We start from the raw sequence: 14,975 nt of genomic DNA, 5'->3' as shown, positions 1-14,975 counted from the left end.
TGCATTCAGTATTCTGCAAACATCATCCCATTTAATCAGTAAGCAACAGTGCAAAGTAGGCACTATTGGGCAATGCTCTTTCTTCTCATTTAAAAATATTGTGGTAGGCTGGGTGCAGTGGCTCAAGCCTATAATCCCAGCACTTTTGGAGGCCGAGGTGGGAGGATCATGAGGTCAGGAGTTTGAGACCAGCCTGGCCAGTGGAGTGAAACCCCATCTCTACTAAAAATACAAAAATTAGCCAGGGGTGGTGGTGGGCACCTGTAATCCCAGCTACTGCAGAGGCTGAGGCAGGAGAATTGCTTAAATCTGGGAGGAGGAGGTTGCAGTGAGCCACGATGGCGCCACTGCATTCCAGCCTGGGCAACAGGTTGGAGCAAGACTCTGTCTCGAAAAAAACAAACAAAAAATTTTGGTAAAATATGCATAACATAAAATTTACCATCCTCACCATTTTTAATTGTCCAGATCAGTGGCATTAAATGCATTCACATGATTGTGCAACCAACACCACCATTCATCTCCAGAACGTTTTTATTGGTTCAGTTCAAACTGAAACTCTGTCCCCATTGAACAACAACTCCCCATTCCCGCTCCCCATAGCTTCTGACAACCACCATTCTTGGCACTGCCTTTTACAGATGGAAATGAAACAGAGAGGGTACAGGAGGCAGCAGGACAGCCAGCCTTCATCCTGGTGGCCCTGGGGCAGGACAAGCTCCAGGGCCTTGTGTTTGGCTCTGGGTGGTGAATGCCAGCTCCCAGGCCACAGCGGCTGGGAGGGATGGGCGCAGTGGGGTGACCCCTCCCCAGGAGGCAGTGAGGGGTGTGGGCAGCACTGACAGTTGGGCCAGGAGGAGGAGTAGGACCCAGAAAAGGGGTCAGACAGCCAGAGGGGCCAAGGGAGGAGAGCGGGCAGTAAGTCTACACTGCTTCTGAGGTCAGAGGGAGCAGGGGACCTGGAACCTCAGACATGACCAGTGACTGGTTCCAGAGAGGCCAGATGCCTGGGGATTCAGGGACAAGGGCAAAGGTGGTGGGAGCGCAACCGAGGGAGGGGACACGCAGGCTGGCAGGGGGGCAAATGAGGGGGCAGAGAGGGGGAGGTCTGCCCCACACCCCTGCGCCCCTGTCCAGAGGCCGCCCGACTTAAATGGAGGTGGACCCTTTCCTGACTCTGTGGAACCTGTTCCATTCCTGCCTGTAGCTCATGATGCTGATGTGGTTTTGCCTCGTTGCAATTTTCTCCACACTGTAGAATCTCCTGTAGAATCTCCTTGTAGCAGATTCTTCTCCTCCTCTGCTCCCCTTGGACACCAGCGGGCTCTGCGGGTCTGGGGAAATCTTTGTCCTGAGCCACCCTTGCCTCCCAGGAGCCCGCAGTTGTCTGGGGCAGCATGCTCACTGCAGGAAGTGAGTGCTGTCTGAGGAGAAGAATTTGCCAAGTTCTCAGACTAAGAGAAGGTCACTGGCCTGGGGTCTGGGGAAGTGCATGGAGAAAATTCCTCTGAAGTGGGCCAGGAGGGCAGATGTCACCGGGGGAAGGGTGGAAACACAGCAGAAGTGAGGTCTCAGAGGTGAGGGGACTGTGCTGTGCGGGATGATGCGACATTGGCCCCCACTGTGGGGGACAAGCTGGACTCCAGCTGGGACCCATTTTGGTACCTATCAGACAAAGCCAGGGAAACCATGGGACTTGGAAGTGGGGAAAGAATGTGGAGGATGCGTCTTTAGACAGGCCCTGAGGGGTGTGGAGGGAAGTGGAAAGAGACCCAGAGACTGACCCAGGGTTGGAGACAGGGAGTTGGAACTGAAAGACATTTGCCCAAGAATCTGTAGACAAATTGAATGGCTGGGGGTGTGGCCAGCTGACTTCACACAAAGAGAAAGATAAAAGTGATTTTCTTGGGGTCAAGAGAGGATGCCAAATTAGAAGACAGGTCTCTGAACTCCTGGAACCCGATTACCAGGATGTCTGTGGTTAAAAACCTCGGACAGAGCCATCCATGCAGATGGTGGAATGGGAACAGGCTTAATGCCAGGGTTGCTCTCACCCCCGGCCCAGCTGGAGAGAGGCCCTCTGCATGTTTGGAAATGCTGGCCTCTAGGCACATTTCTATCCTTTAAAGAGAGAATACACACGTGTTCCAGCTTTGCTAGTGGTCCCTCCCCAGAGGCTCCACATCTCAACAGCCCAGGCCCTGGGATGGGGAGCAGAGGACCTGGCCCAACCTGTAGGGCTGCGGATGGTCTTGGGACCGTGGCACATTCTTGGAGGCCTGGCATGACTGAGATCAGGTATTTCACCTGCCTGGGGAGAGATGGGGGCTTGAAGTCTACACTGAGTTGGTTTAAAGAAAGAGAAGAAATGCGCTACTCTTGCTCACCTGTTTGTGGACTGTTTTAAAAAGTGGGGGTTGGGGCTGTTTGAAATTTGCCACCAGAATGACTCACTGACTTTATTTCTACCCCAACCTCTCCCTACAGTCCGTGGACAAAGGATGATTTGGCTTTTCAGAATGAAAGGCCGGGAGTGCTAGTATCTATTGTTTTGTTGTCCAGAATTCTTGTCCCTCTATTTTCTGCATACAAATCCACGAGTCATGTCCCCTCCTCTGTGGAGCCTTCTCTGCCTTCCCAGAGGGCTCTTGGCCTCACATGACCTGGTATGTTCCCGGTAAGAAGCCATCTGGCCTGGGGCTGCAGTCTGTTCCCAGAGCTTGCCTCCCCACTTAGTTGAACTGCTGAGGAGCCGACGCAGCCCGTGGTCCATTTGTGTCCCTAAGCCCAGGAAGGACTCTAAGATGCTCCATAATGAAGTGCTGAATGAATGGCTCCAGCGGGAGGGAACTTAGCTGGCTCTGTATTTCATTCAAATCTTGAGTCCATGGCTCTGATACAGTCCATTCTAAGGTACCGTTTCCCATTTGCCTGAAGGATTATTTTACACGTGGGGTTTCTTCATGACTCAGTTTCTGGGCAGTAGCCAGCAGGCGCTCCGGGTTAGAATTCCTGTGGAGGAGGACTTCTGAGCGCCATTCTGACCTCCTGGCCTGCCCTGCGGAAGTCAGACAGGCTGAAATCTTTCTTAAGCTCTTTAATTAAATCAAGATTTTTTTTGTTTTGGTCTTCAAATTAGTTTGCCAATGCCGATTGTCAAAACTTTAAACTGTTGACAAAAAAATAACTATGTGGCTATACCAGCTAAATCTCATCTGTGACTTTTAAATATAGAAAGCAGGAAGACAAACATCTGGTAATAGAGGTTGTGTTCTGAATGGGCGGTGGCCAAAAAAAAAAAAAAAAAAAAAAAACCCAAAGAAGCATTAGTCAGAGTCTAGAAAAATAGTGTGTTACTTTTACCAAGTAATATTTAGAGACAGGACTGAGGAGGGAATGTAAGACATCTGTTAAAAAGCAGATTTTTTCCAAACACAGTCCTTTAGAAATTCTTAGGAAAAACATTTTAAATAAAAATAAATTTCAGTTCATTTAAAGATATTTTAGATTGTAAAAACAAAGCTCCTACTGTAAAAATATTACAACTCATAGAGGTTTGCTGAAGATTCAGAATCAACAAACATCAGAACTCAGTTGTGAGCTAGAAAATTTTTTCTAACTTTAAAAAATAATACAGTTAATATGTCGGCACATTTGTGCCATAAAAATTCAAATGATAGTTAAAGCTCAAGTTCCCCTTGTATATAACAACCCTTCCCAGAGCCCTCCCCAGAGAAAACCACCATCATTATGTTACAGTAGGTAGTCAGGCAGACATGAGCAGGGCAGGAGAGGGCCTCCAGGGGTGGGAGGGAATGTCAGGCAACCATCAGGTGATGGTCAGGCGGTTATTTATTTATTTGAGACAGAGTCTCACTCTGTGTTGCCCAGGCTGGAGTGCAGTGGCGCGATCTCAGCTCACTGCAACCTCCGCCTTCTGGGCTCAAGCGATTCTCCTGCCTCAGCTTCCCAAGTAGCTGGGACTACAAGCATGTGCCACTTCGCCTGGCTAATTTTTGTATTTTTAGTTGAGACGGGGTTTCACCATGTTGGCCAGGGTAGTCTTGAACTCCTGGTCTCAAGTGATCTGCCTGCCTTGGTCTTCCAAAGTGCTGGGATTACAGGCATAAGCCACCTTGCCCAGCCAAGAGATAGTTTAAATTTAAAAAAAAATTCTCTTATTTATTTCTTTTTCTTTCCCTCTCTGTTTCCTGCTTCCTACTTTGGCCTTCAGAAATGCAAATATAATCTTCACCTCCCCTCACCAGACACTACCTACAAGGCAAATTCATCTAACTATGTGCTCCAAGACAGTTGACAGTTGATTTGCAGACTGAAACATACCCCATGGAACTCTCACCTCCAGGGGATTGCCTCAGAACTTGTACCCATGCAGAGGGCATGTCAAAAGCATGCTGGTGTGGCCACGTTTACAACTTATTTTTGCCCAAGAAGGTGCCAACTCAACTGTTGGATAGATAAGTCACCAAGCTAGCATTGGGACCCCCTGCCCATGCACACTTCACCCCCTACCTTTCTTTTTTTTTTTTGAGACAGAGTCTCACTCTGTCGCCCAGGCTGGAGTGCAGAGGCGTGATCTCAGCTCACTGCAACCTCCGCCTCCTGGGTCCCGGTTCAAGCAATTCTCCTGCCTCAGCCTCCCAAGTAGCTGGGATTACAAGAACACACCACCATGCCTAGCTAATTTTTGTATTTTTAGTAGAGACGGGGTTTTCCCACGTTGGTCAGGCTGGTCTCGGATTCCTGACCTTGGGATCCACCCGCCTCGGCCTCCCAAAGTGTTGGGATTACAGGCATGAGCCACTGCGCCCGGCCCACGGCCTACCTTATAAAAGTTTTCTGCTCCAAAAGTGAAGCAGCACATTTAAAGTCACGGCGCCTTGTGCCTCTTTCCATAAGCTAGCTTTGGAATAAATTCACTTGTTTTGTACCAGATCTCACTTTGTTAATTGGATACTGTGTGTGGCAAGCAACTAACCTGCTTTTCAGTTATGATCATGCCTCCTTCCTCTCCCTTCCCCACCTCCAGGCAACCACAGATCAGCTATCTGTCACTACAGATTACTTTGCATTTTCTAGAGTTTCATATAAATGAAATTACAAAGTATATAATTCTTTTTTTGTCTAGAGTCTTTCACTCAGCATAATTAGGTTGAAATTCATTCCTGTTGTATGTGTTAATAACTTATTCTTTTTAAATTGCTAGATAGTATTTCACCTATTTTTATAACCACAGTTAGTTTATCTGTTCACCTGTTCATGGATGTTTGTGTTATTTCCAGTTTTTGGCTATTCCACATAAAGCTGCTGTGAACACTCATGTACAAGTCTTTGTAGGGATATATGTATTTTTTTTCTTTTGGGTAAATGCCTAGGAGTGGAATTGTTATTGGAAAGGGATCCTGATCCAGACCCCAAGAAAGGGTTCTTGGATCTCTCGCAAGAAAGAATTCGAGGTCAGTGCATAAAGTGAAAGCAAGTTTATTAAGAAAGTAATGGAATAAAAGAATGGCTACTCTATAGGCAGAGCAGTCCTGAGGGCTACTGGTTGCCCATTTTTATGATTATTTCTTGATGATATGCTAAACAAGGGGTGGATTATTCATGCCTCCCCTTTTTAGACCATATAGAGTAACTTTCTGACATTGCCATGGCATTTGTAAACTGTCATGGTGTAGGTGGGAGTGTAGCAGTGAGGGTGACCAGAGATCACTCTTGTTGCCATCTTGATTTGGTGTTTTAGCCAGCTTCTTTACTGCAGCCTGTTTTATCAGCAAGGTCTTTATGACCTATATTTTGTGACTACCTCCTATCTCATCCTGTGACTTAGAATGCCTTAACCTCCTGGGAATGCAGCCCAGTAGGTCTCAGCCTCATTTTACCCAGTTCCTATTCAGGATGGAGTTGGCTCTGGTTCAAATGCCTCTGACAGAATGGCTGGATCATATAAGGTATTGCCAAACCATTTTCTAAATGGATTGGGCCATTTTATATTCCCACTGGAAGTGGATGAGAGTTTCCATTTCATTATATCCTCATCAACACTTGGTATGGTCGGTCTTTTAAATTTTAACCATTCTAAAGTGTGTATTTCTCTAAAGCTAATGACGTTTTAATTTGCATTTCTCTAATGACTAATAGTGCCTATTTTCATGTGTTTATTTATCAACTGTATATCTTTGTTGGTCTATTCAAATCTTTTGGACTCTTAAAAGTTTGGGCTGCTCTTTTTTTCTTACTGTTGAATTTTGAGAGCTTTCATATAGTCTGGATGCAAGTCCTTTAACAGATATATGCTTTGCAAAGATTCTTTCCTAGTCTGTGGATTGTCTTCTCGTTCTTCTCATAGAGCAGTTAAGTTTTTTTGTTTTTGTTTTTGTTTTCATTCTCTCTCAGTGTCTTTTGAGGAACAAACTTTAAATTTTGATGTAGTTCAATTTACCAACCTGTTCTTATGGATTGTACTTTTGGTGTTGCATCTCACAAATCTTGAGCTAACCCAAGGCCACACATGTTTCTCTCATGTTTTCTTCTAAAAATTTTATAATTTTAGATTTTACATTTAGGTTTATGATCCTTTTTGAGTTGATTTTTTAATATGGTGAACGATATACATCCAAGTTCTTTTATATATCTATAAATGTCTAATTGTCCCAGCACCATTTGTTGAAAGACTATCTTTTCTCAGACAGGTGAGGTGGCTCACGATTGTAATACCAGCACTTTGGGAGGCCAACGTGGGAGGATGGTTGAGGGCAGGAGTTCAAGCCTGGCCCAGTCAACCCAGTGAGACCCTCATATCTACAAACAAAACAAAACAAAAAATCACTATCCTTTCTCTACTCCTTTGCCTTTGTACCTTTGTCAAAAATCATGTGTCCATATATGCATGGGTCTTTTTCTAGAATCCTTATTCTGTTCCATTAATCTATCTATATACCAAAACCACTCAGTATTGATTACTGTAGTTTTATAATAGTTCTTGAAATCAGGTAGTGTTAGCCCTCCAATTTTGTTCTTTTTCAAAGTTGTCTTGGTCATTCTAAATCCTTTGCCTTTCCACATGAACTTTATAATTAGCTTGTCAATTTCTACAAGAAAAGCCAGCTTGAATTTTGATTAGCATTGCAATGAATACATAGGTCAATTACGGGGGGAAGTTGACATTCTAACAATCTTGAATCCTCTGACTCATGGACAAGGTGTATGTCTCCATTTATTTAGGTCAGTTTAATTTCTTTCAGCAGTATTTTGTAGTTTTCAGTGTATGGATGTAGTGAGTTGAATCATAGCCCCTGCCCCAAAATATGCCCATGTCTTAATACCCAGGGTCTGAGAATATGACCTTATTTGGAAAAAGAACTCTGCAGATACAATTAAATGTCTCAAGATGCAGAGCTCACTCAGAATTCTCCAGATGGGCTCTAAATCCAAAGACATGTTTTTGTAAGAGAGATACAGAGGAGAAAGACAGAGGGAGGAGAAGATGACGTGAAGATGGAGGCAGAGATTGGAATGATGGGGCTACAAGCCAAAAAATACCAAGGAACATCTGAAGCCAACAGAAGCAGGAAGAGGCAAAGAACAGACTGTTCCTTAGAGCTTTCGCAAGTACTGCAGCCCTACCGACACCTTGATGTCAGACAGACTTCTGGACTCCAGCACTGTGAGAGAATAAACTGTTGTTTTAAGCCACCCAGGTGGTGGTAATTTGTTATGACTGCCCTAGGAAATGAATAAAACAGGTCTTTCACATTTTCTGGCAGATTTATCACTAGTATTTTATCTTTTTGATGCTATGGTAAAGGACATTGTTTTGTCAATTTCAATTTTGGATTGTTCATTGCCAGTTTATAGAAACACAGTTGATTTTTGTATGTTGACCTTGTATCCCTCTGCTTTGCTAAGCTCACTCATTTGACCTAGTAGCTTTGTTTTTCTAGAACCCATCAGGTTTTCCACATAGACAGTCATGTTTGAGAATAAAAATAGTTTTACTTTCTATTCTCCTTGTCTTTTATTTCTTTTCTTGCCTGATTGTGTTAGCAGTGGCAAATCTGTACAGGTCCGCAGCAACCTCATTTCTTGCCTCCTCAGAAGAACTTGTGTGAGGGGCATAAAGCAGAATGAGAGACGGAGGCAAGTTTTAGAGCAGGAGAGAAAGTTTATTAAAAAGCTTTAGAGCAGGAATGAAAAGAAGTACTCTTGGAAGAGGGCCAGGCGGGCGACTTGAGAGATTCAAGTGCACAGTTTGACCTTTGACTTAGGGTTTTATACACTGGCATACTTGTGGGGTTGTGCATTGCTTCTCCCCTGATTCTTCCCGTGGGGTGGGCTGTCTGCATGTGCATTGGCCTGCTAGCGCTTGGGAGAGGCCGCATGTGCAGTGTGTTTACTACAGTCTATGCATGCTCACTTCAGGTGTTTTTCCTCTACCAGTCTAGCATTCCTAGAGGAAGGTCATATACCAGTTAAACTCCACCATTTTGCCTCTTAGTGCACATGCTTGAGCCCACTCATCCAACTCTTGAGATCTTATTGGGAAGCTGCTGATCACCAGTTTTAGGTGTTTCTGTCTATTGGGAAACTGTCTTTCCCTGGCACTGGCTGCAACCAATAATTATTTCAGAGAGACAGTTTAATAACTGCCTGGCCATCAACTGATGGTCACCTGGCATTCCTGGTGGGAGTGCCTCTCCTGCCCTGCTCATGTCTGACTGGCTACCCACTGTAACAACTGCACTAGTGAGAACCTCCAGTGCAATGCTGAATAGGAGTGGCAAGAGCATGCATTTTGGAACTGCTCCTGATCCTATGGGATCAGCGTCCAGCCTTTCATCATTACTAGGTACAATGGTGCCTGTAGGTTTTCTGTAGCTGTCCTTTACCAGATTGAGAAAGTTCGTATTACCAACTTGCTAAGAATTTTTATCAAGAATCTTGTTGGATTTCATCAAATGCTTTTTCTGCATCTTAAGATTATCACATTTTTGTTTTCTCAGATTTGTTAACATGATAATTTTCTCATGAATGAAGTGCTCATCTGAATACTCCAGGGTGTCTCTCTGCAGATCCTTGGGAGTTTCTGCCAGTGTGTCTCTCTCCTCTCTAGACTCTGCTCCATCAACTCAAGCTGCCTCCATCAACTCAAGCTGCCTTGGTCTCCCAGGCCCTCAGCTCCATCTTCTCAAGTGCAGGAATCTTCCAGGCTCTGCCTCTGTTCTCTCTTTGCCACAGTCTGGAAGCTCTCTCCGGGTGGTAAAGCTGTGGCGATTGTGCAGTTCACAGTGTTTTTTCTCATCTCTCAGGGATCACTGTCTTTCATTGCCTGAGGTCCAGTGTCTTATATACTATTGCTTTTGTCATTGTGTGTGTTTGCTTGTTTCAGGAGGGAGGTTAAGTCCAGTTCCTGTTACTCCATCTTGGCTGGAAGGGGAGGTCATATATAGTTTATGTAAGTTTTTTCAAAATGATGTTATACATATTGCTGTTTTCTAGCTTTGTATTATGGAAAATTTCAAATGTATTCAAACATAGAGAAAATAGAATAACGAATCCCAATGTATTCGTCACCCAGCTTTAACAATGATAAATCGATGGCTAACCTTGTTTCATCTATAATTCAGTTCACTTCTCTGCCTATGTCCTTATCTCATGAGGACACTTCCCCCTACCAATTTTGAAACAAATTGCCCACACTGCATCATTTTATTTGCAAATAACTCTGTATCTTTAAAATTTATAACTTTTAAAAGCAAATGATCGGCTGGGTGCGATGGCTCATGCTTGTAATCCTAGCATTTGGGCTGCCGAGGGTGGCAGATCACTTGAGGTCAAGAGTTTGATACCAGCCTGGCCAACATGGTGAAACCCCATCTCAACTAAAAATACAAAAATTATCTGGGCATGGTGGTGTGTGCCTGTAATCCCAGCTACTCAGGAGGCTGAGGCAGGAGAATTGCTTGAACTTGGGAAGCAGAGGTTGCAGTGAGCCAAGCAGTGCGCCAGTAAGGACCAAGATTGCGCCACTGCACTCCAGCACAGAGTGAGACTTCATCTCAAAAACAAACAAACAAGAGCAAATGATTATCATTCTTTAATATAATAAAATATCTAGCTGTTGTCATTGCTGTTTTACAATAGTTTATTCATATCAGGATCCTCACCAGGTCTACACATTGTATTTGGCGGATAGCTCCTTTTCAATTATTGATTCCTTCCTAGTCTCTCCCTTGTAATTTATTTATTGAAGAACGCAGGTCATTTGTCCTGTAAAGCTTCTTAGAGAATGGTTATTCTGGTTGCATCTCCATGTTGTCTTCAAAGTGATTCTCTGTCCTCTGTTAAACTTACAGTTAGATGTGATTCAGTTTCCAGTTTTGGGTGAATATTTCAGAGGCTGTCATGTATATTACCATCAGAAGTTTATAATGTATTATTGTATCTCTCTCTCTCTTTTTTTTTTGAGACAGAGTTTTTCGCTCTTATTGCCCAGGCTAGAGTGCAGTGGTGCAATCTCAGCTCACTGCAACTTCCGCCTTCTGGTTTCAAGCAATTCTCCTGCCTCAGCCTCCCAAGTCGCTGGGATTACAGGCACCCGCCACTACGCCTAGCTAATTTTTTTGTATTTTTAGTAGAAACAGGGTTTCACCATGTTGGTCAGGCTGGTCTGGAACTGCTGACCTTGTGATCCACCCACCTTGGCCCCCCAAAGTGCTGGGTTTACAGGCTTGAGCCACTGTGCCCGGCATTGTGTCTCTTTTGTAGTGTTCTAGTAGCATCCTGTGCACACTCCTGCCATAGTACAGTCATGCACCTCATATTTGTCAGCTCAGGCTACCCCAGCAAAATACCACAGACTGAGTGGCTTAAACAACAGAAATTTTATTCTCATAGTTCTAGAGGATTAAAGTCCCAGAGCAAGATCCGGCAGGGTTAATTCCTGGGGAGGGCTGTCTTCTTGTCTTGTAAATGTCCACCTTCTTGTGTCCTCACATGGTGGAGAAAGACCTCTGGTATCTTTCTCGTCTTATAAAGGCACCAGCCCTATCAGATTACGAGCCCACCCTCGCTTTATGAGCTCATTTAACCATAATCACTTCTTCATAGGCCCCATCTCCAAATATAGTCACATGGAGTTTGGGGTTTCAACACATACATTTTGTGGAGACACAAACATTCAGTCTAATATATACCTTAAAACTTTCTTAAAAATAAACTTTTAAAAATAATATTTGCAGGTTAAGAAAAGTTGCGAAGATTGTACAGAGAATCACTCTATACTCCTGACCCAGTTTCCCTATTATTAACATTCTATATCACCATGGTACCTGTATCACAACTAAGAAACCAACATTGGCACATTGTTATTAGCTACATGTGATGCTTTATTTAGATTTCGTCAATTTTTCCTCAATGTCTTTTTTCTGTTCCATGATCCAATCTAAGATGCCACATTACATTTATTCATTCTGTCTCCTTAGCCTTCTCTGGTCTATGACAGTTTCTCAGACTTCCCTTGTCCTTGATCACCTTGGTAGTTTTTGAGAAGAACTTCCCAGACATTTTGCAGAATGTCCTTCAATTTGGGGTTGCCTGATGTTTTTCTCACAGTTAGTCTGGGATTACGGGTTTGGAGAGGGAGGCTGCAGAAGTGGCATTCTCATCACAATATATCATGGATACATGCTATCGACATGACATTACTGAGGACGTTAACCTTGATCATATGGCTGAGGTAGGGTTTGTCAGGTTTTTTTCACTGTAAACTTATTCTCTGTTCCCACAACCTCACTTCAATACTCTATTGTTTGGAAGCCAGTTGCTAAGTGCATCCCCCATTTGGGTAGGGCGGAGAGGGAATTAGCTACATAAATTAATATGGAATTATTCTGTCCAGGCAATTTATCTAATCTCCCCCACTTATTTCATGTTGAAACATTTATTTATATCTATATGGACCCATTGATATTTACGTTACACCTTTTGTATAGCTCATGCACCATACAAAAACAAGTAGTGAGCTAGATTGGCCTGCAGGCCATAGTTTTCTGATCCCTAGTCTAGAAGACTCCTCAGGAAGGACTCATTTGAACAATATTCAATTAAGTTATTCTACTGTATGAGTCCATTCTCACACTGCTATAAAGAACTACCTGAGACTGGATAATTTATGAAAAAAAGAGGTTTAATTGACTCACAGTTCTGCAGGCTGTATAGGAAGCATGGCTGGGAGGCCTCAGGAAACTTACAGTCATGGCCAAAGGCAAAGGGGAAGAGAGCACGTCTTAACATGTCAGAGCAGGAGAGAGAGAGAGCCAAGGGGGAGGTGCTACGCAGTTTCAAACAACCAAATCTCGTGAGAACTGACTATAATGAACACAGCAAGTGGAACATCCGCCCCCATGATTCAGTCACCTCCCATCAGGCCCCTCCTCCAACACATGGGGATTACAGTTTGACATGAGATTTGGGTGGGGACACAGAGCCAAACTATATCATCCATGTTCATGTAAGTTTGTGGTCTTTACATATAAAAGGGTTGCACTGGCTGAATAGAAAATCTCTTTTCCATTTCTGTAAAGAAAGACTATTGGGGCCGAGGCAGGTGGATTACGAGGTCAGGAGATCAAGACCATCCTGGCTAACATGGTGAAACCCCGTCTCTATTAAAAAATATAAAAAAAAAATTAGCTGGGCATAGTGGCGGGCACCCGTAGTCCCAGCTACTCTGAAGGCTGAAGCAGGAGAATGACATGAACCTGGGAGGCAGAGCTTGCAGTGAGCTGAGATCATGCCACTGCATTCCAGCCTGGGAGACAGAGCAAGACTCCGTCAAAAAAAAAAAAAAAAAGAAAAAAGAAAGACTATTGGAATTTTTACAGAAATTGCATTTATTCTGTAGATTACTTTGGATAATATTTACATCTTAACAAGATACTTGTATCAGTCTGTTCTCACATTGCTATAAATAAATAACTGAGACTGGGTAATTTATAACAAAAGAGGTTTAAGTGGCTCCTAGTTCCACAGGTTGTACAGAAAGCATGACAGCATTTGCTTCTGAGGAGGCCTTGGGGAGCTTTTACTTATGGCAGAAGACAAAGCTGGAGCAGGAGGAAGAGAGAGAAGAGGGAGGTACTACACATTTTTAAACAACCAGATCTTGTGAGAACTCACTCACTGTAGAGTACTGAGGCTGGGATGGTGCTAAACCATTCATGAGAACTCTGCCCCTCATGATCCAATACCTCCTGCTAGGCCCCACTTCCAACACTGGGGATTACAATTCAAGATGAGATTTTGGTGAGGACAACATCCAAACTATATCATTTCACCCCTGGCCCCTCCAAATCTCATGTCCTACTCACATTGGAAAATACAATCATGCCTTCCCAACAGTCCCCCAGAGTCTAAACTTATTCCAGCATTAACTCAAAAGTCAAAGTCCAAAATCTCATCTGAGACAAGGCTAGTCCCTTCTACCTATAAGCCTGTAAAATAAAGACCAGGTGAGTTACTTCCAAGATACAGTGGGGGTACAGGCATTGGGTAAATACTCATGTTCCAAAATGAGAAATTGGCCAAAAGAAAGGGTCTCCAGGCCATGTGCAAGTCTGAAACGCAGAAGGGCAATCATTAATCTTAAAGCTCCAAAATAATCTCTTTTGACTCTGTGTCTCAACTCCAGGGCACACTGGTATAAGGGTAGACTCCCAATGCCTTGGGAAGCTCCACCTGTGTGGCTTTGTGGGCGTCAGCCCCCATGGCTACTCTCACAGGCTGGTGTTGAGTGCTTGCAGCTTTTCCAGGCATATAGTGCAAGCTGTCAGTGGCTCTACCATTCTGGGTTTGGAGGATGGTGGCCCTCTTCTCACAGCTCCACTAGGCAGTGCCCCAGTAAGGACTCTGTGTGGGGGCCCCAACTCCACATTTCTCCTCTGCACTTCCCTAGTAGAGGTTCTCCATGAGTGCTATGCCCCTGCAGCTGGCTTCTGCCTGACCATCCAGGCTTTTCCATACATCCTCTGAAATCTAGGTGGAGACTCCCAAGACTCAACTCTTGCACTTTGTGAACCCACATGCTTAACACCAAGTAGAAGCCACCAAGGCTTATGGTTTGCATCCTCTGAAGCAGTAGCCAGAGCTGTACCTGGGCTCCTTTGAGCCATGGTTGGAGTTGGAGTGGCTGGGATGCAGGGAGCAGTGTCCTGAGGCTGTGCAGGACATTGGGACCCTGGGCCTGGCCCACAAAACCATTCAGTCCTCCTAGGCCTCCCAGCCTGTGATGGGTGGGGCTGCCACAAAGTTCTCTGAAGTGCCTTTAAGGGCTCTTCCCCATTGTCTCTGTTATTAGCATTTGGCTTCTTTACTTTTGCAAATTTCTGTAGCCTGCTTGAATTCCTCCCCTGAAAATGAGCTTTTCTTTTCTACCAGATGGCCAGGCTGCAAATTTTCCAAAATTTTTTGCTTTGCTTCCCTTTTAAATATGAGTTTCAGTTTCAGGTCATTTTTTGCTCACACATATGAACATAGGTTCTTAGAAGCATCCAGGTACCATCTTGAATGCTTTGCTGCTTAGAAATTTCTTCCAAGGCTGGGCGTTGTGGCTCATGCCTATAATCCCAGCACTTTGGGGGGCCAAGGCAGGTGGATCACTTGAGGTCAATTCGAGACCAGCCTGGCCAACATGGCAAAACCCCGTCTCTACTAAAAATACAAAAATTAGCTGGGTATGGTGGTGCATGCCTGTAATCACAGCTACTCGGGAGGCTGAGGCATGAGAATCGCTTGAACCTGGGAGGCAGAGGCTGCAGTGAGCTGAGATCCACTCCAGCCTGGGTGACAGAATGAGACTCTGTCTCAAAAAAAAAAAAAGTTCTTCCACCAGATAACCTAAATCATCACTCTCAAGTTTAAAGTTCCACAGATCCCTAGAGCAGGAGCACAGTACA

The 14,975-nt window shown here is 44.3% G+C and overlaps 1 annotated feature.

The window, feature by feature from the left end:
• Positions 1,792-1,961: an enhancer, noted in NCBI's record as "experimental_110048 CRE fragment used in MPRA reporter constructs". NCBI's record gives its function as "activates a minimal promoter by MPRAs in K562 erythroleukemia cells, with activity observed for the non-introgressed 9:96903469 variant allele {active_cell/tissue: K562}" and the evidence as "EXISTENCE:reporter gene assay evidence [ECO:0000049][PMID:34662402]".

The sequence above is a fragment of the Homo sapiens genome, chromosome 9 (assembly GCF_000001405.40).
Source record: "Homo sapiens chromosome 9, GRCh38.p14 Primary Assembly".
Taxonomy (NCBI): domain Eukaryota; kingdom Metazoa; phylum Chordata; class Mammalia; order Primates; family Hominidae; genus Homo; species Homo sapiens.
The sequence above is the reverse complement of the archived record's forward strand: the minus strand, read 5'-3'. Positions and strand labels throughout refer to the sequence as shown.